The following is a 27694-nucleotide window of genomic DNA, read 5'->3' as shown; positions in this document are numbered from 1 at the left end:
GAGTTTTAATTGATATTCAATTTGTTGAAGTTACAGTGTTTTTTAGCCTTTGAACATATTTTATAAATCATGGAAGTTTTCTTATATATCTAGTTTGTGTGCATTAAAGTATGAAACATTCATTTGCCTTTGTTCTTTGACTAAAGCTCAATAAATCTTTAAACATGAGATAGAATACTTCCAACTAAGTATTTGAATACCATTTTCAAACTTAATCAAATCAATCTTACATATTTTTATTAGTCACAATTTTTATAAGCTTAACAAATCAAATAATCTTTCAAAATGTAAACAGTATTTATAAACTTGATTAATTAAATTCCTCTAAGCATTTCAAACTATACTCACAAATTTGATACATCTGGCTTTGTTAAAATCTTCAAATCCCTAACAGGAAGACTTACAAATAGAAGAAACAAAATCTTTCTCAGGACTTACTTAGTTCTTGTAAGACTAATAAATCAAAACTTCTAAATTTAGCACACAAATTCTCTTAAAGCATTTCAACCTGCTGAGAATTAAACTGATAAATTCAGGTTCTCCTGAGCATCCAAACATTGACTACAAAATTAATTCATTAAATCCTCCTAGGTGTTACACTTAAAATTGCAAATCTTGTAAGTCAAATTCTCTAATATATCAGATTCTCATTTCCAACATCTTAAAAGCAAATCACATACAAAGCAATGTATATTGATCACAAAACTCACTACTACACATGCACTACTTACATAGAAGTACCATTTCTTTATTGCCTACTTACTTTTTAAAAATGCCTTCTTAGAGTTACAAAGTCATACAAACAAAAGTGGCAGAATCATCTTCTCTGTAAGAGGCAGCTGAGGTTCTGGAATCAGGGGTTGAGTTGGAGACCCAAATCTGGCTATGCCTCACAGGGGTCTTGCCCAGAGCTGCATCTCGATACCTGAGCCCCTCTCACAGTGGAGTTCTGCCTACCTGGTGCCTACAGAGTCCACTCATGCTTTTTCCACTGAAATCGAGTTTTGTAGTTCCAGTGTAAATCCTTGACTGATTTGCATAGACGGAATCATGCACAGCCTCACCCCACCCCTAGTTTGCATCCTTTATCTACCTGATTAACGTTAACTACATTCTACATTTTACCTTTTTATTGACATGAAAAAAATGACCAAAAAGAAAAAAGAATCACCACAAGACCTGGTCCTAAAGTTGCCTTTTTGAGATTCTGAGGTCATGAAAAATATGTGCCAGATTTTTTCTGGATGTATCCTATTTACCCACATAAATCATCAAAAATATTGTAGTATGTGTTGGGTTTAACAAAGCCAGGCTCTTAGTATGGTTCCAACCTGTACTCTTATAAAGAAGGTCTACAGAGCAGCTTTCTTTCCTCTTGGCATGAGGTCATCAGTGGCAGGGACCTTCTTCCTGGAGCCTGAAAACCACCTAGTACCCTTGAATCCTCCAACTGGATGATTAGAGATTCCTTCTTTAAATTAACTGGGTTTCCCCTTGAGGCCAGAGCCTTATGGCTTTTTCATAGCTCTAGGAGTGCTGGGTTTCTTCACCTTCACTTCCACTTTATTGCCATTATTTCAGATAATAAAAAATAATCTGTAATGATACTCTGCCTTTACAGCTCAGCCCAGTGCCCTAAGCCACAGATGGACTGATGAGCAGCCACCTTCACAAATCACACAGCTGCCTGAGCTCATGAGGGGAGAGTGCTGAGCAGTCATGCTAGCAACACCTCTGTTCTCTCTATCATAGAATATAATTGAGACACTAATTTTTAAAAACCTCATGTGCACATTGAGTGGCACGTGAGGAGATTAGGAGCATAAGCTTAAATACCCACTTTGTATGATTTATTAATTTTATTTTACTGTAGAGAAACATCCACTTGAATAGTGAATATGTGTTCATAAAAGAATTTGTCTGACTCTGAAAATGTTTAAACAAAAGAAAACCCTACAAACAACTGAGATACTCTTCTAAATAGTCCCAGGGAGCCAAGGGGAAATTTCAAATGCCTTTAGAATTCGTGATGGGAACCAAAATGAATGCAGCCCTGAGCTTGAAATACGAGTTAGCTCAACAACTTAGCTGGGCTCTTCAAACATGAGCTAGGAAGATAAAAGAGAAAACTTCATTGGAATTTTCATGATTTAACAAATTTCATTTTTAAAATTTGTTCCTGAAGTTCTTTTCTCTTCCCAGCTGGAATGATGAGGGGTCTGGAAGTTAATGTGTTAAAGATTCAGCTAGATTACCTGCCAAATCAAAGCCATCATAGGTTTTCAATGATCCAATTAGGACACTGTGATCCTAAGACTTTAGGCAGAATGCAAAGAAGGCGCAGATACTATTTCCCTCGTTTTTGTTGGTTTCCCTCCAATAATGTTATAACCAGCTACAGTCTGCATTGAGGCACTCCCCAATCCTGCTTCACAAATGCATGAACCCAAATTACTGCTCCATTCCCTTCACAGCCAATCCAATTTAGTAAGTTGAGTTGAACCAAGAGAAGAGCAGCTAATTAAAATCACACTACGGTACAAACAATATGGACGTCTTTCTACCTCCAAGGTCCCATTTGTATCTTAAAATGGGAATGTGTTCATTCTAGTTACCTACTCCTTGAACAGGAAAGATTGTAGAGAATTAAAACAAACTTAGACCTCGGAACTGTGCCAATGTGGAATGTAAGAGGTGCCGGAGTTTAGGTAATACAGAAGTATCCAGAGTTTGGCTTTCAAAAAATAGTCCCAGGTATACCACCAAGGGGTCTGCTGGAGGATACTGTGGTGGGGATCTGTCACCAGGAGCTGTCAAACTGCTGTTGAAAGATCTTTTCCTGTCACAGGCAGAATTATCTCTGCCCTGAGGTGCTACTGCACTCTGCATTTGTTTGCGTATTTGCTTCTGTCTTCTTCAGACTTCTTATAAGTCACTAATTGTTTTGATAAATATGTAATATCTTTACAACCTGGAAGGATGTTAAGAAGGGACTGTGGAATATATTCTCAGCCAGTCCAGTGGGTTGGGGTTAAGGGCAGCAGGGCAGTGCTGCTGAGATGGCCAAAGCAGATTCTTCACCTCTCCTGCATCTTCATCAGTGAATTTGTGCTGTTTACAAATCCTGGGGCGAGGGCCAGTTTTCCAAGAGCTGGGCTTTCTGCCAGGGTCTGTCTGGACCCACATGTCATCTGGAAGTTTTCATCCTTTTTTCTTTGTCTGCATCTTTCCTTTCTTTTTTTCTCTGTACACCTGGATAAAAATTCCTTGCTTCATCTCCTCCCAATACTTCCTCAGCATTTTGAAAATAGCACAGCTTCAATAAATGTCAATGACTGAAAAATGGAGATGAAACAGATGAAAACAAAAACTGCTGTATATAAAACAGTTGATGAGTACAGCAATAGAAAAAAATGCAAATTACTAACATTCTGATTAAGCAGATGAGTCTGGAAGGATCCTGAAAGGATTCTTGAGGCTGTTCATTTAGGTAAGAACTTAAGCCACCTTTTTTTTTTTTAAGAAAAATAACTTACTATTGAATATTACCTGCACAACTCCAATGTTTTTCTGATCACATTTTAGTTTAAATTTAGTTTAATATAGTTAAATTATAAATAAATCGTAAAATATTACACACTTATTAAAGAGAATTAGCAACTTACAAAAAAATAGTTTGAAGAAAAATAAATGTAAAATCAACGCTCATCTCACTGCCTAAGCACCACTATTGTCAATTCTTAGGAATTATTTCATGCCAAGACTTTCTTTCTTTTTTTTTTTTTTTTTTTTTGAGACAGAGTCTTGCTGTGTTGCCCAGGGTGGAGTAAAATGGCACGATCTCAGCTCACTGCAACTTCCGCCTCCCAGGTTCAAGCATTTCTCCTGCCTCAGCCTCCCGAGTAGCTGGGATTACAGGCGCGAGCCACCAAACCCAGCTAATTTTTGTATTTTTAGTAGAGACGGAGTTTCACCATGTTAGCCAGGATGATGTTGATCTCTTGACCTCGTGATCCGCCCGCCTCAGCCTCCCAAAGTGCTGGGATTACAGGCGTGAGCCACAGTGCCTGGCCCAAGACTTTCTTTCTATGCATAGAATCTTCATAATTATAGTCCTATAGCATATACAATTTTATTTTTCTTTTACATAATAAAGATATATTTTATGTAATAAACTTTATTCTATAAGATCATGCCAAGTGGTTACAAAGTATCGTAATTTAAATAATCCCTCATGCTTAAACCCTGGGGGGTGTTTTGAGATTTTGCTACAACATATAATTTGTCATCAATGTGTTTTAGCAAAACTAGCGCACATGGATGATTATTAGGATAAATTCTTAGAAGAAAAGTTGTTTGTTCAGAGTGTTAGCCATCTTAAGCCTTTTGCTTCATTCTGTTAAGCCACTCTTCAGAAAGCTTTAGTAATTTGCAGTGTGAAACAGAATATATAGATCCAACATATTGGAGTGTTCCTTTATCCATATTCCTAACAATTTTACAAAAATCTTTTCCAATTTAAAAGATTAAAATGTTAGTTATGTTTGCACTTCTTACTAGTGAGTATATTTTAATATATTTGTTATTCCTTTGTATTTGTGAATTAATAGAGCTTTAAATTTAAATCTTAATTTTTAAATTCCATATTGAATTGCAGAAACTGTAGGTTGAGGCTATATTAAAGGCTATAACCTTTTGATGGTCATGTGATATAAAAATTTTTTATATTTCAGGTTAAAATGTTCATTTCTTTTTCAGTGATTATTTTATATTATTTTATGTTGTTATATCTATCTGCCTTTTCTTTTGTGCTTTCTCTTTGTTATTATGCATAAAAAGACCTTCCTCAACTCAAAAGTAGGCAAATATGCATAAATAATTTCATTTACTGTACTTTTATAATTTAGTTGTTGTTTAATATTCCACTCCAATAATTTAATATAATTAGATTACCTCTTTTTTAAATGCCATATAAGTTTATCCTATTGTTCAAACACCATTTATTGATTGATCATTTCCCTACAGATTAGAAATATTACTTTTGTCCTACAATGAATTTTATTTATATTTAGGCTTTCTCTGATCTATCTACTTTGTTGACTATTTCTTTAATCGTATCAACATGCATATATGCTTCCTGATAAATTCTGGATTCATAATCTAAAACACCCTTATGGATAAGTCCTGTTGAAATTTTTACTGGAAATACAATAGATGCATTAAATTTAGAAATTAGCTTTGGAAAGAATTATTAGCATATCAAGTTTTTTTTCAGTGTATGAACATGATGCATAGTCTATGTAGTCGAGCTTTTAATATGATTTCTTTACAGTTTTTTACATTTTTCTTCTATAGATCCCACACATTTTTTAAAAAGTTTTATTATATATTGCATAATACATAATATAGAACCTAATATATATCATATTACCACATATGTTGTATATAAATTATATATATAAATTTAACTTTTTTGGTTGCTAATGAAAATACAATATTTCCCCTTGGTTTTTTTTCTAATGGATTATTATTGGTGTACTAGAAGGCTATTTATTTTTTAATAGTTATTTTGAAACCAGCTATCTTAATAAGTCCTGTAATTCAGTTGAAGTTCTAATGATTTTTCTGGTTTTTTTTCTCAGGTTTTCCTCAGATAATGGCATAGTCTATAAATCATCATCAGCTTTAATCTTACATCTAGTGTCTGTGTCCTTTACTTTTTTTATTAGATCTTTTAGAACAAGTTAATTAAAACTCATGATCATAAGCACCTTTTTTTTTAACCTGTGATGGTAATGTTTCTCTTAATATAATTGTTAAATATGTTGCCCATTGGCTTAAGACAGACATTTTAAAATTACATCATTTAATTTCTAGTTTACTAAGAGATTTAATCAAATCTAGATACTTAATTTGCCAATTGTGTTTTTGCCATCTATTAATACATTTTTTCATATTGCCTACTTTCCTAATCTTCAACTGTTCTAGAACTCCTAGAATAAACAATACCTGTTCTTGTGCTTTGTCCTTTTAGCACACTATTAGATTTACTTACTAACATTTCATTTACGTTTTTGCATCCTTGCTATAAAATACAACTTACATAAGCTTTAATTTTTTAATGCTGTCTTTTCAAGTTTAGGTTTAGGGCCATGAATAAGTGAAATAACTGTTTTCTAAAATTCTGTTGGCTGAAATAAGCGAACTTCAGTGAGAAGCTTTTCTTCCAACCAGTTTCCTAAATAATATAAATTCCTTATTTTTCTCTGTTTACTCATCATGCAGTAGCACAGGACTTTTGCTGAGCCTTTCAGGTGAAGCAAAAGAATAAAAGTAATAACACAATACGTTATTGACACAGAAAACTAATGGGAATGGAGTCTTCACAGTAGTTTGAGGATTTTACTCCCTCAGCTTAAGGGCTCTACCAGAAAATGATATAAACGCAGAGAAAGAAACCCAGCCGTGTACTCCTTCCTGGGGTGATCAAGGCAAAAGCCAGCTTCGGACAGAGCAGGGGAGGGACTACTGCAGCGGTTCTCAGTGAGCAGAACTTCGGTACTCCATCTTTTTCCTGCCGTAGTACACGGTTTCCCCAGGAGACACATCCTCATGGGCACAGATGTTGACAAAACCCAGGGAAACGTAACAGATAAGCACAGTATAGCAATGCAGACTTTTTCACTTGGCTGTGCATTTTGTAAGACATTTGACAAGACTGTGATTAATATAGCTGTTGATTTAAGGATCTCAATAATTAACCTTTTTAGAGAAAAAACATAGATAAACGCTGCAATTTTTAAAAATTAAACTTTTCTTTTAAAACACTAAGTTTCATTTTTTCGAGGCCCTCCCTTCCCATAAACTATACAGTAAGAAAAGCAAGTAGATACTATTGAAGAAGAAATAGAAATAAATCTTACTTTGTGCCTCTAATGTATTCTTATTGCATGTAAGTTATTGGCTTCTAACGTTATTTTTAATACAAGTCAAGTTTGGCACATTTTCTTTTTATCATGACTTTGCTTTATTGTTATCTTCTACTGACATTGAACACACTCATGCTTGTAAATGTAGATCTAAATATTTATAGAGCTCCTACATCATATATACCTGAGATTCAGGGATACAATGGCAAGAATCAAACATGATTTCTGCCCTTCAGGAGCTTACAGTCAATTGGGAGAAATAAGTATTAATAAGACATTAATCCAATGATTATTCACATCATTGTATAATTTTAAACTGTCTTAAGAGCTAGTAAAGAACATTAATGCTATGAGAGTACAGAAATACATCGCTTAACAATGGGGATACATTCTGAGAAATGCGTCATTGGGTGATTTTGTCATTGTGCAAACATCATGAACAATGTGTAAGAACTTACACAAATCTAGATGGTATAGCCTACGATACACTTGGGCTATATATAGAATACCCTGTTACTCCTTGACTACAAACCTGTACAGCATGTAATTGTACTAAATACTGTAGGCAATTTGGAACACAATGGTAAGTTTTTGTCTATCCAAACATACCAACCCATAGAAAAGGTAATGTGTTGTGCTACGACATCACTAGGCAATAACAATCTTTCAGCTCCATTATAAACTCATGGAAGCACCATCATATACTTAGTCTGTTATTGACTGAAACATTGTTTTGTGGCGCATGGCTGTATATGAAAATTCACACTGTCAGTATGGCTCAGGGCTGAGATCTAAAGGAAGAGCGGGAGTTCAGGGTGAGAGTGTCAGGGGTGGGTATTGTGGCAGATACTATAGATTGACCACATACAAGCCATTTACAGTTGCCTGCCCTTTGCAGTCCCCTACTAGTGATGCTGTCCACATCCCAGCCTTCCTTGCAGGGAGCACAGGCCATGAGAGAAATTTTGGGGCAATGGGGGTACAGGAGAAGTCCCTAGGTTGAGCGTCTCTTCCTGAATAAAAAGGCAACAGCCACAAGGAGAAATGCTTTTTCACTCTTAGCTTTCCCCTTTCTTGCTGTCTGAAACACAGGCGAGAGGCCTGGAGAAGAACACCAGGTTTCATCTATGAGAACAAGCCCTGTCTAATCCTTAGCCTAAGCTAAGGGTTGTGGATCAGAAAGTTAGAAAGTACCTGGAATTCCCTTGAGTACATCACTGATCCACAGACCAGCTCTAAACTGACTAGCTCTGGGCTTCTTGTTAAGAAAAGCAATGAAACCGCTAGTTCTTTGAGCGCTTGATAAACAGACGTTCTGTTATTTGTAACCAAATATAGTCTTAGCTAATTAAGAGGAGTGAGGTCAGGTTGGGAGGAAAGAATTGTAAACAAGTTAACTGCATTTATGAAAACCCTGGGCAGGAGGAAGCATGACTCCTTGGAGGATCAAATACTTTTTATTTATACTTTCCATCTCTTACATTAAAAATTTATCCATGAATAAAACTAAAACAAAAAGGGAAGAAACATAAAATCACAACTTATAAGCACTATGGTAATTCATTACCACCCCAACTATTAATGGGGCCTCAGTAACAAACTCACTGCAGGCTGGAGTTCAACTAGATAGTCTGAGCATTATTGGAATTTGACACTATGAATTCATCGTTTATTTCATACTCAGAAGAGCAAATGAATGAGTGACATGACCATAGGGATAATGTTAAATCCACTATGGTTTTTAAAAATAATTCTAATATCTCATTTTATATGGGGAAAGATAAATTAATTTTAACATCAGACAGTTAAGAACCCGTGGTCTGGAGTATGTTTTCTTTGTCATTTTTTTTTCCCCTTAATGAACCTGCTCAGATTATATTTCCTTTTTTTTCTTTTTAAATTATTTTCTAGATGTTTTTAAAGGAAATTTTGGAAAGAAGCTTTTCAAAATGATCCCTCAATTTTTAAATTCATATTTGTTTTTGAGGCTAATAAAATTAAGAGGAGTGGGAGAATGTTGAAGAGTGGGGAAGAAACAATTGGTAATGATTCCAAATAGGAAGTTATTATGATATGGAGGCAAAATATTATTCAAAACATAGGACTGGGGAAACAAGATTCCAGAGATTTGAGGGTGGAATTGGAAGATTTAGTAGGCCATTAGATGTTTGCAAGAGAGTAAAGAGTTAGAAATGAGAATGTGGAAGAAGTTAAAGCTTCTCCCAGTTTACCAACTTGGCAGACTGCTAGACAGATGGTTAAATCAGGAACATGGAGCAGGTTGTAAAAGAGCGTCTACATATTCACTGTAAAATGTCTGCAATATCCACTGTAGAAATTCAACAGTTATTTATTGAGCCTCTGCTGTATCAGTTATATATTGCCACAATAATGTTGTGTAACAAACAACCACATGACCTCAGCAGTATACAATGAACTATTATTTAGTTCATTAGTTTGGAGCATTTAGTGAATTTGGGCTGTGCTTGTCTGAATCTTGTCTGGGCTCACTCACATGCCTGGGGCCAACCAGCTGCCAACTGATATAATCTGGGCCCTGGAGGGATGACTGGGGCCACTCAGCTCTGCTCCACATGCAATTCATGCTTCCACAGGCTAGCTAAGGTATGCTGTCATGGTTATCCTATCAGAGCAGGATAATTTTGGATTTGAAAAGTGCAAAAGGCACACAGACACATGCAAGCACCTTCTCAAGTCTATGCTTGTGTCACATCTAATACCTCCCACTGGCCAAAGCAAGTGCTACAACCAGACCAGATTTAATGTAGGGGAGCTATATTCTACCTCTTCAGTGACAAGAACTGCAAACACTCATAGAAAAGGGCAAGTATACAGAGAGGGATAAATAGTTGGGACCATTAATGTAATTAATACACACATCAACTATATGCCAGTATTGTTCTAGATTCTAAGGATACAACAAAGAACAATAAGAGCCCTTATTCTCCATTTAGAGTGATAGACACCAAGCAATAAACTATAAAATATGTAATTTTGAGTACCGACAAGGGTAAGAGGATAGAGAGTCATGGGAAGTAGAAGGAAGCCATTTAAAACAGGGAGATTACAGAAGGCTTTTCTGAAGAGATGGTACTTGAACAAAGACCTGGAACCTGCCATGTGATGATCTTAGTGAAGGACTTTCCAGGTAGAAGGGACAGCTAGAATAAAAGACCCCAAAGCAGGAATGATATTGGCAATAAAGCCTGAGTGAGTCAGGATTGGAGTGAGTCAGGGTAGAGGCTAGAGAAGAAGGCCATATAGACCACAATTATTAGTCAGGGCAGGCTATGATATGCTGGAGTAACAGGCAAACCCCCAAATCTCAATGGCTTTATCATGCAGTTTATTCATCACTCAGTCTAAGTCTACTCTAGTGTAGGCACAATTTCTGTCCTGAGAACCTCCCTGAAAATATTACTTGGTTGCAGGTTGTTTCCATCATGTGGCTCAGCCATCTCAACCTGAGCTCCTTGGTTGCTACATTTAAGGAGGAAAGAACTGAGAATTGCAAGGAGGTTTAACCTGTCCCAGTCCAGAAGCAATACACATCACTTCTCTTCATAGTCCATTACCAAGAGCTAGTCACATGGCCAGGCCCAACTTCAAGGGCTCTGGAAAATGTGGGCAAGCCTATGAATATTTAGTGAGCATTAAAATTCTCTACCACCACAAGATAAGCTTGGATTTCATTCTATGCATGATAAGAAGCAATCTGAGGATTATTAGCAGGGAAGGGACATGATCTTATCTACAGTTTTAAAAGATCATTTGGCTGATGTGTGGCAAATGGACAGTAAGGGGCCAAAAGTGGAAGCAGGAAGACCAGTTAGGAGCTCTCCTGTGGTGACCCCAGGAAAGAGATTATGGTAGCTAAAACCAGGGTCTGGTGGTAGACATGGTGAGAAGGGATCAGATTTGGGAGACATTTTGAAAGTAAAGTCAAAGGATTTGTTGATGGGATATATGTGAAATAGAAGAGAAAAAAGCACAGTCAAGAATGACTGCTAGGTTTGATGCTGAGCAACTGGGAGAATGCTGATTTCATTTACAGAGATGGGGAAGACTGGAAAAGAAATAGGTTCAAGAACAGAAATGAGGAGTCATTTTGGCCCAGGAAGTTTGAGATAGGCAGTAGATAGACAAGTAGAGATACTTCATGAATAAGCAGTTGATTTTTAAACCTGGAGTTCAGGAGAGCAATAATGTCTGGGATACAGATGTGGGACTTATTGACATATAACTAAAACCATAGGACTGTATACAATCACCCAGGAGAAAGAGGGAGATAGAGACATTTTCCCTGCCTGAGCCCTGGCGAACTCTAAATTTAGAAAATCAGGACGATGAGATGGAACTGGCAAATATGACCAACAAGGAATAATAGCCAGTGAGTTAAGAGAACTAATAGGTAAGGTATTCTGGAAGTTAAATAAGAAAGCATTTCGGGAAGAAGGAAGTACCTACGTGTCATAAACTGCTGAGAAGTTAAGTAAAATGAGGACCAAGACTGGACCACTAGATTTGACAAGACGAGATCATTACTTACTCAAGAGTGGCTTCATTAAAGTGGTGAGCTAACAGAAGAATGTGAGGGGAGAAGTGGAGTTATAAGTGGGAGAAAAGAGAAAGTGTATTAGGTAGAAAGGTCATTGATTTAAGGGAGTTGTTTTTTTTTCAATGGGGAAAGGTATTGTAGCATGTTTGAATAGAAATAAGAATGGGGAAATTGTCAGGTGCAGTGGCTCACGCCTGTAATCCCAGCACTTTGGGAGGCTGAGGCGGGCAGATCACCTGAGGTCAGGAGTTTGAGACCAGCCTGGCCAACATGGTGAAACCCCGTCTCTACTAAAAATACAAAAATTAGCCAGGCGTGGTGGAGGGTGCCTGCAATCCCAGCTACTTGGGAGGCTGAGACAGGAGAATCGCTTGAACCCAGGAGGCAGAGGTTGCAGTGAGCCGAGATGACACCACTGCACTCCAGCCTGGGCAACAAAGAGCGAAACTCTGTCTCAAAAAAAAAAAAAGAGAGAAATTGAAAGAAATGTATGATGCTAGTGAGGGATGAATGAATGTAGGAGCAAAGGTTTTAAGTGAGCATATGGGTCCAGGTTGTCCTTCAAAATGAAGTAGATCTTCTGGATCTAGAGGGAAGGTGGACATATGGGTAAAGGTGAAGATAGACTGGTAGATTTTATGATAAAATGACAGCTCATTTTTATTGCTTCTGTTTTCCCAAAGAAATAAAAAATAAGGTCATAGACGAAGGTGAGGAAGGAGGTGTTAGAGGTTGAGAGGAGAGGAAAAGTGAAATCGTCATGTTGTGGAGCTGGAGGGTGAAGTGACTACAGAAATATTTGGGGATTGTCAAGCAATGTTGAAGCATGCCTTGAGATTTGTGAATTAATGGGAGAATTTAGAAATCAGTCAACATAACGTATGGCTTCCTGTCATGTAGGCATAGAGCAGGCAGAAAATTATTAGCATTGGGGTTTTGTGAGAGGAGTAAAGTGGAGTCAAGGGCATATGTGAGGAGTGACTGTAGGGTGGTGGGTGGAATCTAAGTGAGGTAAACAAAGAAGCAAGGACGTGGGTAGGAGATAGAAGATAAAAGTGGTGCAATCAATGGGCTAGAGATCCTGATGAGTATTAAGAATTGTTGGACTTCAACTAAAAAGTGCATGAACTGGAAAGACAGGAGGCAATGGTCAGACAGTGAGAGGCTTAAAATAGACATTTTGAAAATGATGTAGTTATTGTTGATAACAAAGTCCAGATAATGATTTAACATGAAAGTGGAAGGCTAGAGGCAAGTGGAGAAAACTATATTGGAAGTGAGGACGACAAGAAACTGAGTCAGGGAGTTGAATTAATCATGTATGTGGATACTATTGTCACCAAACGTGAAGACAGGAACAGTGGTGGGGATGAAGACAATGAGCCAGGGGTGAAAAGGTCCAACGAACGAGAGGGAATGAGCAATAAATGAGTCAAGAAATGGCTTCAACATGGTGCAGCAGGCAGATGGTGTAGTCAAGTGCTTCAGAGGGGGTGGGGTCTGAAAGAGAAAGACAGAGTAAAATTCTGGAAGTGGTGGTGGGGGGCAGCAAGTACTCCTGGTGCCGGCTCTGTGGTGGGTGGACTGTGGAGGAGGAACAGCCACCATCTGAGGTGACTGCAGTGTTGGAAGTGGTTTCCTGGAACAGCCAAGTTTGAGGCAGTGAAAAGGTGAAGGAAATCTTTGAAGAAGAGGTTGAGGATTTTGCTGAAGACAGTGTTCCTTGGGGGTCAGGGAGAGCAGGAGACTACATCAGTGTAGGAAAATGTTTGGAGCCATATTGGAGATAAAAGCCTAGTCACTGTTCACTGAGAAGCCCAGACCTCTGGTGGTGGTCAGGGAAGTAAGGAATGATGAGATTGGTCCTGGGGGTCATTAAGAGGAAGGCCCATCTTCCTAATTAGAGTTTCCTACTTGACATTAGACACTGAGACATCTTGTGATGAGGCAGGTGGTGCAGGGAGGACAAGGTAGAGGCCTTGTGGGGAGTACTTGGGGCTCCATCAGAGTCCCCAAAGTCCTGCTGTGGAACAGCAGTCTAGATGAAGAGTCTCAGATGGCTAGCGGCCTCCCCCAGAAATCTTCTGGGAAAGTCCATTTGGGGAGTGGAATGCCACCAGAACTATAGAATCTATTATGAGGGAATTGCTTGATGAGCTCAGCAAGGATAGGCTCAGAGGAGTTTTAAAGGAGATTGAAGTTTTAAAGGAGATTGAAGGGAGTAAAACACAATGCATAGTGTTGGCGTGGAGAAGACTCTCCAACCGAGAGAGGAACCTGGAATCTGAGATGCCCATAGACGACTTAATGCTGTACTTAAAAAAAAAAAAATGTATAATGTCTCCTTTACTATAATGAAAAAAATTTATAGATATTACAATCTACCTATATATGCAATTTCAAGGAAAAAAATCAATATAATGTCCTAACTGTATTATAAAAGAGAATGAGAAAAAAGCAGTTTATAATAAAATACTCTGCTTTTCAATATGGAAATTGAACATCAGACACACAACATTAGGATAGAGGATGAATCTGCTAGGCTTACACTGTTATTTAAAATAAAAAGAATGTAGTAGCAATGGATGGCAGATACAAGAGTGGGGTTTCTTTTTTCTGTTTCCTTTTTTTTTTTTTTTTTTTTGGACAGCTCAAACATAGTGAGCCATGCTACAGTCAGTAATGTGATTTCTGAAATGAGGATTAATTATCGGCAATAAAAGAAAATAAAATCTTCTTTGATGTATATGGTAGTTAGCTTCTGAGAAAATCCAGGATATCTGTTTTCAAAGTTCAAAATGTATGTTTTCTATGATAGGCAGAATAATGCCTTCCCAAGGATGTCTACATTGTAATCCCTAGAATGTGTGACTATGTCACTTTACACGGCACAGAGGACTTTACAGATGTGATTAAGCTAAGGATATTGAGATAGGGAAGTTTCCCTGGGCATTCTGGGTGGGCTCAATGTAATCACAAGCAGCCTCGCAGTGAAAGTGGGAAGGAGGAGGATCAAAGTCAGCGGGAGGGTCAAAGTCAGAGAGAGATTTGAAGATGCTATGCTGCTGGCTTTGAAAACAGAGCAAAAGGCCATGAGCAAAGAAATAAAGGCAGCCTCTAGAATCTGAAAAAAGAAGGGTCAAAGTTATTCTCCTAGAGTCTCTGCAAGGACATCTTTATTTTAAGCCAGCAAAACTCACTTTGGATTTCTGAACCCCAGAACTGTGTGAAGAAATTTGTGTCGTTTTGAGCAGCAATAGGAACTATTCACTTTATTTATATTAAAATCAGAGATAAGTTCTAGGTTTGGGTAATTATAAGATTTTTCACCTGCATGAATATCTGGAGGGACATTCAAAAATCATTTGGGGCGTGGGACAATATTTCCTTGTGCAGGACCAATACCACTCACTGCAGGACATCTAGCGTTCCTGGTTCCCACAACAAAATGCCAGGAGCTCCCCTGAGTCATTGTGACAAAACACACTTCCCACAAATATCCAATTTGCAAAAGGAAGTACTCACCATCTAGAAGCAAAGGGATTTGAGGGAATTCATATCTGAGGACTTTTGTGAGCTAGAAACAGTGTCAAAGATACTTTCATTGGCCTTTAGTTACTTGGAACTCAGTAGCCTCAAAGGAGACATTATTTCAGAGTAAAAATCAATAAACTATTGGGATTCTGATCAATCTATAAAGACTCCTGAATTGATTTCTTAAAAGCCTGTGTTCAGCCCCTCATCATCCTCTGCCCCTGAAATTGGGCCTGAGAACAGAATCTCTCTTTGGTAATAGAAGTCATCAAAATCCATAGCTATCTAGTTTCCTAGGGAGATATCTTTAATGAAATCCCCAACCATTATGCAAATTCTCACCAGGGAGAATTGATACAATTGAAATGGAAATAGAAGTGATTCTCCTTTCACTCTCCATTGCTATGGATTAAGAAGAGAGGAGAAAAAGAAACTTCTTTTACATTACACCTCTTCCTCTGTCAGCAACCATTTGCTATTACAATAGTCCCCCCTTATCCACGGTTTCCATTTCTGCAGTTTCAGTTACCCACGGTCAACCAGGGTTTGAAAATATTAAATGGAAAATTTTACAAATAAACAATTCATGAGTTTTACTTTGCACACCATTTTGAGTAGCCTGATGAAGTTTCACACTGTCCCACTCCAGCCCACCCAGGACGTAAATCATCACTTTGTCCCAGTGTATCTACTGTCTATGCTACCTACCGTTAGTCACTTAATAGCCCTGTTGGTTATCAGATCAAAAAAACATAATTTAGTCTATATATATAGGGTTCAGTACCATCCATGGTTTCAGGCATCTGCTGGGGGTCTTGGAACGTAACCCCTGCAGGTAAGAGGAGACTACTCTATCTGCAAAGGTGTTGTATGCTTAGCAAGTGCTTTCAGTAGAAAATACTAGAAAACAATACAGAATAGTCTTCAGTGTTGCAGTGGATGTCATAACAATGATACTACTTGAGGGTTCAGTGGGGGATTTGGGGTATCATATCAAGAGAAAGGACCACAGAATTCAGAGATGGTAATGGCAGATTGGGAGCCAAGTCAGGAAAAGTTCCTGGGTTTTGGGAGTGAGGCAGGAGAGTGTGTGAGGAGTGAAGCAAAGAGAATGATTGTTTTGTTCCTGAGCTGCAGTGTTGTAATTAGCCCTCACCAGGGAGACTGGTGTTTAGCACATCAGGCTGTCTGTCCTCTGGGAAGGCCAAGTGGCTCAGAAAAAATGGAGCAGAGTAAGACACCTCATTACAGAACTGTTCTTTGCATAAGAACAGGAAGATCTCATTTCTGCCTTTCTCTTGACTTAACAATGTAGCTTGATCATTACCAAGTCAAAGGATGTTCTTTCTAGTGAGGGAAAAGTATGATGAATATACTTTCAAGTTAAAAGAGTAGATAATTGTAGTGTAATTAGACAAAACTTCAATTTAGGATTGGTTGGAGGCTCACTCCTGCAGGAAGGTTAGGGAAGGAGCTGTTTCCTCCTTTTTCCCCAGCTTCATTGTAGAGATGGCAGCTGCTAAATTCCTTCAGTCATTTCCATTCTTCCTTCATTTTTGATGTTTCTTCTTTAGTCTAACAAGATTTATTTGTCAAGTAGACCAAAAGCCAACTTCCTTGATGGAAAATGACCCCTAATTATTATTCATGGTTTGATAAATAACCCCAAAAGTCATTAATACAATTGGCAGTGATGAGGTATAGTATAGTTACAGTAAAGCAGGCTCAAAAAAATCACTTATTTATAAACGAATATTTCATGACTGGAACTTCCAGATTAATCTGGCAGTCAGGCTTTATTCTTGCAATATAATACTCAGCAAAGTAGAAAAAATTATGGAAACCTACAACTGCATTGGGTACTAAGGTTAACAGCTGAATTTATACCAGTGAATGGGGGCAATTTTTACTGGATTGCAAGAAGTTTACCAAGCCTATCCATCCCCTGACCCCTTACCTGGAGTTGCACCTCCTCCAGGATTAAAGATGGAGGAGTCATTTGCCAGCACTGTTATGGGTTGAATTGTGTCCGTTCCTGACCCCCCACCCCAAGATTCATAAGTTGAAGTTCTAATCCCCAGTGTCTCAGAATGTGGCCTTATTTGCTGATAGGATTTTTAGAAGTAATAAGTTAAAATGAGATCATTAGGGTAGGCACCAGTTCAGTATGACCAGTATCCTGATTTTAAAAAAAAGGAAGTTTGGACACATAGAGGAAAGGCAATATGAAGAGATACGGGGAGAAGGTGGCCATCTGCAAGCCAAGGAAAAAGATCTGAATAAATCCTTCCCTGCATAACCCTCTGAAGGAACCAACTCTGCCAATTTCTGGACCTTGGACTTCTAGCCTCCAAAACTATAAATAAATTTCTATTTTTCAAACGAATGCAAGTACTTTCTGCTGTTAATAAGAGGAAGCAGGTATTGCAGATGCTGGGGCAAGTCATAATTTTCTGAGGTGACCAGAAGAATATATTCGTTCCATTCTCTTTCCCACTTAAGAGCCTCTTGTCCTGGGGAGCTACAACTTCTAGGGTACTGCAGAGCAAGGAGAAGACAGGGAAGGGACAGGGAACACACATCTCAGGCATCTGAGATGTGTGTTCAGGCCCCTTAGGGAAGACATGGAAGGGGGCTGCCTAGACGGGGGACAGCCCGAAAAGAAAAGTGTCCAAGGAACTTTTTTTCTCATATTCCTTCTCAGATTAAAGAATTATGTGACTATTCTTTCTTACAGAGAAACAGGCATTTGCAAAAAGAGTAATTTCCACCTCAGTTCAGCAAAAGTACACAAAATTAACACTTTCTAGGTTCAAAAACTTGGGATGGGGCTGTTCAGGGTGCCTTCCAGATTTAGATGCTAGAAAGGATTCTGCCAGTTATCAAATGTTCAATGGCCCCTGTTTGTCAAACCCAGTTTGGCTGGTTCTCCATTCAAGAAAACAATGGGGTTTGTAAGAAAGATTCTATAGCACAAAATGAGGAGAGCACTCTTCTGATGAATTAGAAAAGGCATTATTTTCAATAATTTAGCACAAGAAAGAGAAAACAATCAAAATATCTGCATGCATTAGTCCATTTTCATACTGCTATGAAGAAATACCTGAATTCCACCCATGGTCCCTCTCACATCCTCACATTTCCAAACCAATCATGCCTTCCCAATATTCCCCCAAAGTCTTCGCTCACTTCAACATTAGCTCAAAAAAACACAGTCCAAAGTCTCATCTGAGACAAGGCAAGTCCCTTCTGCCTATGAGCCTGTAAAATCAAAAGCAAGTTAGTTACTTCCTAGATACAACGGGGATAAAGGCATTGGGTAAATAAACCCATTCCAAGTGGGAGAAATTGGCCAAAACAAAAGGGCTACAGGCCCCATGCAAGTCCAAAATCCAGCAAGGCAGTCAAATCTTAAAGTCCACGTCTCACATCCAGGTCACGCTGATGCAAGAGGAGGGCTCCCATGGTCTTGGGCAGCTCTGCTCCTGTGGCTTTGCAGGGTACAGTCCCCCTCCTGGCTGCTTTCATGGGCTGGCATTGTCTGTGGCTTTTCCAGGCACATAGTGCAAGCGGTCGGTGGATCTACTCTGGGGTCTGAAGGATGGTGGCCCTCTTCTGACAGCTCCACTAGGCAGTGCCCCAGTGGGAACTCTGAGTAGGGGATCACCCCCACATTTCCCTCTGTACTGCCCTAGTAGAGGTTCTCTATGAGGGCTCACCCCTGCAGCACACCTCGGCCTGGACATCCAGGCATTTTCATACATCCTCTGAAATCTAGGCAGAGGTTCCCAAACATCAATTCTTGACTTTTGTGCACCCACAGACCCAACACCACATGTAAGCTGCCAAGGCATGGGGCTTGCACCCTCTGAAGCAATGGCCTGAGTTATACTTTGGCCCCTTTTAGCCACAGCTGGAACACAGGGCACCAACTCCAGAGACTGCACAAAGCAGCAAGGCCCCTGGCCCAGCCCATGAAACCATTTTTTCCTCCTAGGTTTCCTGGTTTGTGATGGGAGGGGCTGCAGTGAAGACCTCTGACATGCCCTGGAGACATTTTCCCCATTGTCCTGGAGATTAACATTTGGCTCCTCATTACTTATGCAAATTTCTGCAGCCGGCTTGAATTTCTCCTCATATCGCATCATCAGGCTGCAAATTTTCTGAATTTTTATGGCCTGCTTCTCTTTTAAACATAAGTTCCAATTCCAAACCATATCTTTGTGACTACATAAAACTGAATCCTTTGAACAGTACCCAATTCACCTCTTGAACACTTTGCTGCTTAGAAATTTCTTCCGCCAGATGCCCTAAATCATCTCTCTCAAGTTCAAAGTTCCACAAATCTCTAGGGCAAGGGCAAAATGCTGCCAGTCTCTTTGCTAAAACATAATAAGAGCCACCTTTGCTCCAGTTCCCAGCAAGTTCCTCATCTCCATCTGAGACCACCTCAGCCTGGACTTTATTGTCCATATCACCATCAGCATTTTGGGGTCAAAGCCATTCAACAAGTCTCTAGGAAGTTCCAAACTTTCCCACATCTTCCTGTCTTCTGAGCCCTCCAAACTGTTCCAACCGCTGCCTGTTACCCAGTTCCAAAGTGGCTTCCACATTTTCAGGTATCTTTACAGCAGCACCCCACTCTACCAGTACCAATTTACTGTATTAGTCTGTTCTCATGCTGCTAATAAAGACATACTCAGGATTGGGTAATTTATAAAGGAAAGAGGTTTAATTGACTCACAGTTCCACATGGCTAGGGAGGCCTCACAATCTTGGCTGAAGACAAATGAGTAGCAAAGTCATGTCTTACATGGCAACAGGCAAGAGAGCTTATGTAGGGGAATTCCTCTTTATAAAACCATCATATCTCCTGAGACTTATTCACTATCACAAGAACAGCATGGGAAAGACCCATCCCCATGACTCAATTACCTCCCAACAGTTCCCAACATGACACGTGGCAATTATGAAAGCTACAATTCAAAATGGGATTTGGGTGGGGACACAACCAAACCGTATCACTGCATTAGGTTCTCTGAATATACAAGAAAATGTTTCCTCTCTCAAATGGAAAAGTCAGATGATAAGAAAATCAAAAGGGTCTGGCTAAGAGAAAGGAAAAAAACAAAAGAAATCTAAAAATGCAATTTTGGAAATAAAATTGCATTGAAGGTAGTAATGGAAACAGAAAACCCAAATTTGTCATGTAGAAGAAAAATTCAAGCTCTAGAACAGAGACGAAAGGGGAAGAAAAAATGAAAACTGGAGAGAAAAATCATTAGTTATGAAAAAGACAAGCCAGAAATCCAACTCCACATACTAGTTATTCTTGAAAAAGAAACCAGCATAAGTTGAATAGCTATCATAAAATTACAATAGAATAAAACTTTCCTGAGCAGAATCTACTTTCCAGAATCAATATAAAATGGGCTCACATATTCAAAGTAACATCAATGGAAAAAAATCTATACCCATTAATATTCCTTTCACTTTATGGTAAAATTTTGAATTCCAGGTTTAAATTGTAAAATGTCTTCATCTATCCTAGCAAGAAAAATAAAAGATAACTAAAAGGAAACAAAAATTATTCTGATCTCAGTCTTCTGATAGATGGCAATAAATGTCAGACAGTAATTGAGCAAAATCCATATAGAATTTTTAGCAGAAAATATTATGACCTTATATACTTAGCCACATTGTTACTCATTGTTATTCCTGCATGAAAGATATTCTCAGATATGCAAGGTTTTGAGAGTAGAACCATCACATCCTTTTCTTAGATAAAAACTAAACCAATACAAAGACATACTATAACTAGTGAATAAATGAATCAAAATTGAGGACTCAAAGGAGGAATAAACGAAACAAAAGAAGTGATTATGAGAATTGTAATCTATCAAACATGATTTCCACTCAGTTGTTATATGTAATTAAATTGAAACCAAAAAATGAAATTTAAGAAAATAAGCCTTGAAAGAGATTTATATTTTATTAAAAACAATAATACTTTTCAGAAAGTATTAGATAAAGATTTAATTAGGGTTGGGAAGGTAGAAATAAGTATTTGCCTTAAGAAATAAAGCGATTGTAAATTAGGTTATTCTGATTTAATAATTAGAGAAATGTAGATTAAAGTGTATTTTACCTAATATTTCTTTGTATTTTTTTCTGATTACAAAGGGAAGAGGTGTTTATTTTGGAAAATAGAAAATCAAGTAGGGGAAAAAGTCTCTGGTGATTACAACACCGAGAAATAATCATTGCTACTATATTCACATTTCATCATTGGAACTAGGCTGCTGTACTTAAACAATTTTGTAATCCGCTTTTTACATGTAACTAAATAGGTTCTTAACCAAAATGATTTTTAATTACTGATAGCAAATCAGCCCATTTGTATCAGTTTTCCATTGCTACTGTAACAAATTACCATAAATTTAATGGCTTGAAACAACCCAAACGTATTGTCTTACAGTTGGGGAGAAGTCCGCCACAGATCAACAGTGAGCTGAAATCAAGGTGTTGGCAGAGCTGTGTTCTTTCCTGACACTGTAGGGGTGAATGTTTCCTTGCTTTTTCTAGCTTCTAGAGGCCAAAGGCATTCCTTGGCTCACTGCCCCCTTCCTCCATCTTCAAAGCCAGTAACACAGCATCTTTGTGACCATTCAGCTGCTACCATGCCTCTCTAGGACCACAGCTAAGAAAGATTCTCTGCCTTTTAAGGCCCCACCTGATTAGATTGGGCAGACCTAATTAACCAGGATGATCTCCTTATCTCGAGGCCCTTAACTTAATGACATCTGCAAAGTCATTTGTGCCATGTCAGGTAACATAATCACAGACTCCTGGGATTAGAGTTTAAACTTTTGGGAGTGGAGGGGCACTATTCTGCCTATCCCATTATTATATGGTCATAGCTCGTTTAACCAATTCTCCTTTGTTTGACATTTGTTTAGAGATTTTTAAAATAATAAACAACAAGTATTCTTCTACATAGTCTGTGAAAACTGAGTATTTCCACAGGGCAAACTTCTAAAATTGGAATTTCAAGTCAAAGATTATTTTTTTAAATACCAAAACTCTTGACATGTTGGTGAATTTACTTCTTGAGAGTTCTGAACTCATCTTTCTCCAGTGGTGTATGAAAATGCCCAATTTTGCTTCTTGGCAACTGGGGACCATGTATCTGCTTCAATTTTTTTTTATATTTGACAATTTGATGAGTGAACAATGGTATCATTTTTCTATTTGAATTTATTGGCTTATTTCTTAAATTGGTTTGTAAGAGTTGTCTGTGTTAAGAATATTAACTCTTTTACTATAAGATACAAATATACTTCAAGTTGGTTATTTTTTCTTAATTTTTCTGAGATCTTTTTGACATTCAGAGTTCTACATAATATACCAAGCATTTATTTGTTCACTACTGATTTTTAGTTTAAAATGTTCTCTGTCACCCCAAGATATTTGCCTCTATTTCCTTGTAGTTTTTGTATGAGTGAGATAATGAAATTTTTTTCCAAATAGTTTACCAATTGTGCCAGAAGGATGTCTTGGCAAATGTTTCTCTTTTCCATAAATTTATAATGTCATGGTACTTTATATTAAATTCTTGTAAGTAGTAGGGTTTGTTTCTAGGCATTTTATTACAGTTGTTTGATCCATCTTTCAATCCTCATGTTGATATCACAATGTTTTGATTATTAGGACTTTATTCTGATATCTGACAAGGCAAGCAGGTACCTTCTGCCACCCTCCTATATACACCATGCTACTCTCTGTTTCTGATCTATTGGGCCCATTTGCCAGTTTATTTTCCTATGTGAACTTTAGAATCATTAAGTCATGGTCCAAGAAGAATTTCACTGTGATTTTATTGGAATTGCATTAAAATATAAAAACATTGGGGGATAATTAATTTCCTTTCAATTATAAGCCTTCCATTTTTAAGTTTTCCATTTTACCTCTGACAAGCACTGAATGTATTTCTCATACAGATGTCCTGCACATTTTAGTTTCATTGTTCCTGTCGTTTATCTTTTTGTTGCTAAGTGTGGAAAAATATTTTTATTATCATAATGTAGTCTTATTTATTGCTATTGTGAGCATATTTTTTAAAAATCCAATGTTTGCTATCTATTTAGTAACTAACTGCCTCTTGGTATTAGCTCATTTAGAACTACCATAAGCAAAAAGCACATTTTATTATAAGAACACTAAGGCATCTATAACCCAAATGCAGCACAGCAGCTGCATCTCAGGATGACCTAGAACTAGACTTTCCTATATCTGCACTTCTCTGTATGTCTGCTCCATCCTTCTCTCTTCCAACAAACAGTTTTCCTCAGATAACCTGAACCAAATAAAAGAGGATGTAACCTCTAATAGCCTCCAAGTTTTACATTTTGCAACCCCAGCCGCCCACAATCTCTAGCCCACTCACTTGCTGTGCTCTCATTCTCTCACTCTTGCTCTCTTTGAAAATATCTTGAGACTATTGGCCAGATTGATTGCTATCTCTGGAAGAGTCAGTGAGAGCCCCAAGGCCAAAGACCAATAAAGGTGTGTGGGAGTGGGGTTTGAGGAGTGGTAAGACAGAAGGAGCGCTGATTGATTGGCCAACGACTAAGTTTTCATCACTATCCTCTGCAATGTTCAAGTCAGTTGATTATACTATTTTATTGAATTTCTTAAAGCAGCCTTCATATTAAAACACATTAAAATATGTTTAATATTTAAATAGTGAACATTCAAAATATAATGGGAATGCTTTTATAATTTCATCATTCTATGTTTGTTGATTTGTGATACTTTTCATCCTGTAAAGAAAAGATTTGCGCTAGTTTCTGAGATTTTATCAAAAATGGATGTTGAATTTTACTGAATCAATTTCTAGTCTGTCTCCAGATGACCACGTTTTTCTCCCCTAAACTAATGATGTGACATTTTATTAAATAATGAATGTTTTAATATTAAATCATTTTTGTTTTAATAGAGCAATGTGCCTATATGATTGCATGTTTTGGATTGACCTAGAGTCTCACTCCTCTCTAATCACAGTGAGGGGAAAAGTATCCCTTTAGGAAATGTACATTTGCATGACTTTTTAATTAAAGGTTAAGGACTTAAAGGATATTTGTGTGCTTCTTTAACAGATGTCAGTTGTTTGAATTGGCCCATTAAAGTATGGGGCTTTTCTTGTTAAAAAGTCATTCCAAAAGGCTTGGCAAGAGTTTGCTATACAACGGAGGGACAGAGAAACATGAGCTGGGGAGTAGGCTCTGACAGAAGGTGGGCTGTCTTCCTGCCTCCACTGTTGGGCATTTGTCATATCAGAAGTGGAGGACAAAAAGAGCAGGGACCTGAAGCTAAAGGATTTGCCATAATAAGTACCAGCGTTAGCCTGGGCGCACCATATTTTATGAGAACTCACTTTTAGGGGCAGAGAAGTCAAAGGCCCCTCCCAGACTACTCCAGTGGCCCAATGCTCTGACCTGAAGAATGGAAGATGGGGCCAGGCGCAGTGGCTCCCGCCTGTAATCCCAGCACTTTGGGAGGCTGAGGCAGGGGCATCACGAGGTCAGGAGATTGAGACCATCCTGCCTAACAAGGTGAAACCCCTTCTCTACTAAAAATACAAAAAATTAGCTGGGCATGGTGGCGGTTGCCTGTAGTCCCAGCTACTCGGGAGGCTGAGGCAGGAGAGTGGTGTGAACCCTGGAGGCGAGCTTGCAGTGAGCCGAGATCGCGCCACTGCACTCCAGCCTGGGTGACAGAGCGAGACTCTGTCTCAAAAAAATAAAGTAAAATAAAATAAAAAAGAATGGAAGATGGGACACCAGCCCCAAGTGGGCATCGTCCCTTGAGTATCCTTAATTAAGGAGGTTGTAGTGAGCAGATCTTTCGTTCAAAAAGGGATTAAGGCCAGAAGTGGGAGTTGTGACCAATTATGCTGAGGTATTTTGTCTTAGTGGTTTTCGTTATAGGAATCTAATCCAAACCCTCGTCTAGCTTCTGATAAGCCCTTTGGGAAGATAGTAAGACTAACATGGATGCTCAGGTGGTTGATCCAATGCTCCTGCTCATGCTGGGTCCCATGCATCCACCCCTCCACACATCCTCTACAATAGGATGAATCATAAAATTCAGGAGAAGGATTGGGACAAGTTCAGTGTCACATGGTCATGGATCCAACTTCATGCCTTGACTTTGCTCTATCTATGGCTTCTTATAACTAATTATTTTCATAAAGTGTTAATGGAACTTGGGACTGAGCATTGTTAGCAACCTCTGCAGAGGCCAAGTTAAGGCTTGAGCTAGACCAATTAGCAGTGGGCATGGTGAGACAGGAGCCCAAATGACAGAGCCTTCCAGGAGCACTCGGAGCCAGTGTAACTACAGTCATAGAAAATTAACTCTGCTTCATGAAATCAATTCAGTGCTTTTACCTACTTTTCTTTGTACAGGAATAGTTATCACATAATTTTTTTTTTAAGTTTACCTTTCAAACTGCCTGAGCCCAAAGTAATTCAACAGATTATTTTTCATTTTCTTCCAAGACTATTGTCCTTTTTAGATTATCAGTTTATGCTTCAGTTGGACTGGGTCATTTGTATTTTGCCAGAAAATTATCTATTTCACGTACTGCGTTCAATTTTCATTATTGTTATACCTTTTTAGATAATGTCTTTAATTCTTACAAGATAATTCATTTAGTCATAATTATTTTTCTATTATTTTTATTTTGTACAATATAAATATTGTCATTCCTGCTTTTTCTTTTTTTTTTTTTTAAGATGGAGTCTTGCTCTGTCACCCAGGCTGAAGTGCAGTGGCATGATCTCAGCTCACTGCAAGCTCTGCCTCCTGGGTTCACGCCATTCTCCTGCCTCAGCCTCCCGAGTAGCTGGGATCACAGGTGCCCGCCACCACGCCTGGCTAATATTTTGTATTTTTAGTAGAGACGGGGTTTCACCATGTTAGGCAGGATGGTCTTGATCTCCTGACCTCGTGAACCATCCGCCTCGGCCTCCCAAAGTGCTGGGATTACAGTTGTGAACCACTGCACCCGGCCCACTCCTGCTTTCTTAGTTTGTATTTGCTTGATTGTTTTTGTACCTCCATTTGTTTACTTTTTTAGGAGATTTTTTTTTTCAAGACAAGGGTGATAATTTTATATCACTTCATGAAATACTCCAAAGAAATAGAAGAATCATTTTGTGCAAAATATAGACTGGTTAACTAACATGAAGAAACTTAAATGATTCATTTTAAATTTCATTGAATCAAATGACTAAATCCATGAAGAGTAATAATGCAATATTGGGATACAAATCACTCTCTCTCTCCCTTGCTCTCTTCCCTTACTACTAAGACATCTACATTTTTATATTGAATTGATTATTTTCTTCAAAATAAGTCATAAAATACTTCTAATGAAAACAACGTTGAATATCATATTTTTAACACACCTGTGCACCAACTTTGTAGAATAAGTCATTAGGGAAGAAGTTCAGAGTTCACTGTTTCTATTTCAACTTTTTTCTCATTTATCTGATAAAGAGGTACTTTAAAAATTATAAGAAATCTGGCAACATTTACCTTTGCCCTGCCAAGCAATCCATTTAGAATTGCATTTAATAGAATATATGCCTATGAAACACAAAACTTATTATTAAGACTTATGTAAATGCCTTTATTTTAGAGTTTGTACTCTGTGAGTTTGTACTGCTGTGAACTGATTCACATTTTCATTCAAGGCAAATAAATATTCTTAGGTCCTAAAGAACTTGAGCCCAAAAGGAAAGCACAAAAAAGCTTATGTAAGGGTAAAAAAATTGATAAAAGTTGCCATAGACAAACCCTGACTTCTCTAGTTAGCACAGCACTTTGGTGCTTGCTCTCCCAAAGTCTCCTGTGAATCAATGGGGACTCTCCACCATCTGCTGACTCAGGGATCAAATCTCCCTCCATTCTGTGACACTGTCATTTCAACACATGACTTCCAAGTTTGCCATGACTGGGTAAGAGGGAAGTGGAAGTGTCATGTCAGCTCTTAACTGCCTTAGCCAGGAAGTGGCACACATCACTTTCACTCACATTTTGTTGGTTAGACTTATTCATACAGCCTTGCCTAGTTGCAAACGGACTGGGAAGTATAATCTCTTATGGGACCAGGACAGGGAAAATATGAGGTAGGCCCAGTAGTCTCTTCCACGCATGATAAATGCATAGTTCTTCATACTCAAGTATAGCAGATTGTAACTGGGATTCTAGCATGGAATTTTAACAACCTTGAAACATCAACAAAATTTTTGAGTCATCTATCTTTCAATGAAATGGTAATATACAATTAATGTGCAAAAAGATTTTAAGCAGAAAAAAGTGGAATCTTGAGTGTCTCTCAGACAAAAAATACTGCACAAAAAATTGCTAAAAATATCATCATATTGACCTTCAATTACAGGGAACTGTGTTCCTAACCAAGAAAGTCATGAAATATAATTAAGTATGTCTGAGATAAAACAGAACTCAAATAGATCTATTTCCTTTGATACATTTTTCACTTCTAGCTGGAGCTTCTCAGTTTTCACTGGCATGTTTTATTCTAGTCCCAAGGTTCTCTTTCCTAAAATAGAAGAACTAAATA

General features: G+C 38.1%; 1 protein-coding gene and 1 long non-coding RNA gene across 5 annotated transcripts in view; one reads left to right on the top strand and one right to left on the bottom strand.

Annotated features, from left to right (window-relative positions):
- TACR1 (tachykinin receptor 1) overlaps positions 1 to 27694 on the top strand; it is a 153058-nt gene that overhangs the window by 9356 nt on the left and 116008 nt on the right. The gene's annotated exons all lie outside the window — the stretch shown is intronic.
- Positions 1 to 27694, bottom strand: part of TACR1-AS1 (TACR1 antisense RNA 1) — a 125490-nt gene that overhangs the window by 89643 nt on the left and 8153 nt on the right. The window contains exon 3 of one of the 3 annotated variants that reach the window (NR_168011.1): positions 221 to 3335. The exons of the other annotated variants lie outside the window; for them this stretch is intronic. This is a non-coding gene — a long non-coding RNA (TACR1 antisense RNA 1). Of the gene's footprint in view, positions 1 to 220; positions 3336 to 27694 lie in introns of those variants that run through there. 3 annotated transcript variants of the gene reach the window in all.

The sequence above is a fragment of the Homo sapiens genome, chromosome 2 (genome assembly GCF_000001405.40).
Source record: "Homo sapiens chromosome 2, GRCh38.p14 Primary Assembly".
Classification (NCBI taxonomy): Eukaryota; Metazoa; Chordata; class Mammalia; order Primates; family Hominidae; genus Homo; species Homo sapiens.
This window is presented reverse-complemented; position numbering and strand designations above follow the sequence as displayed.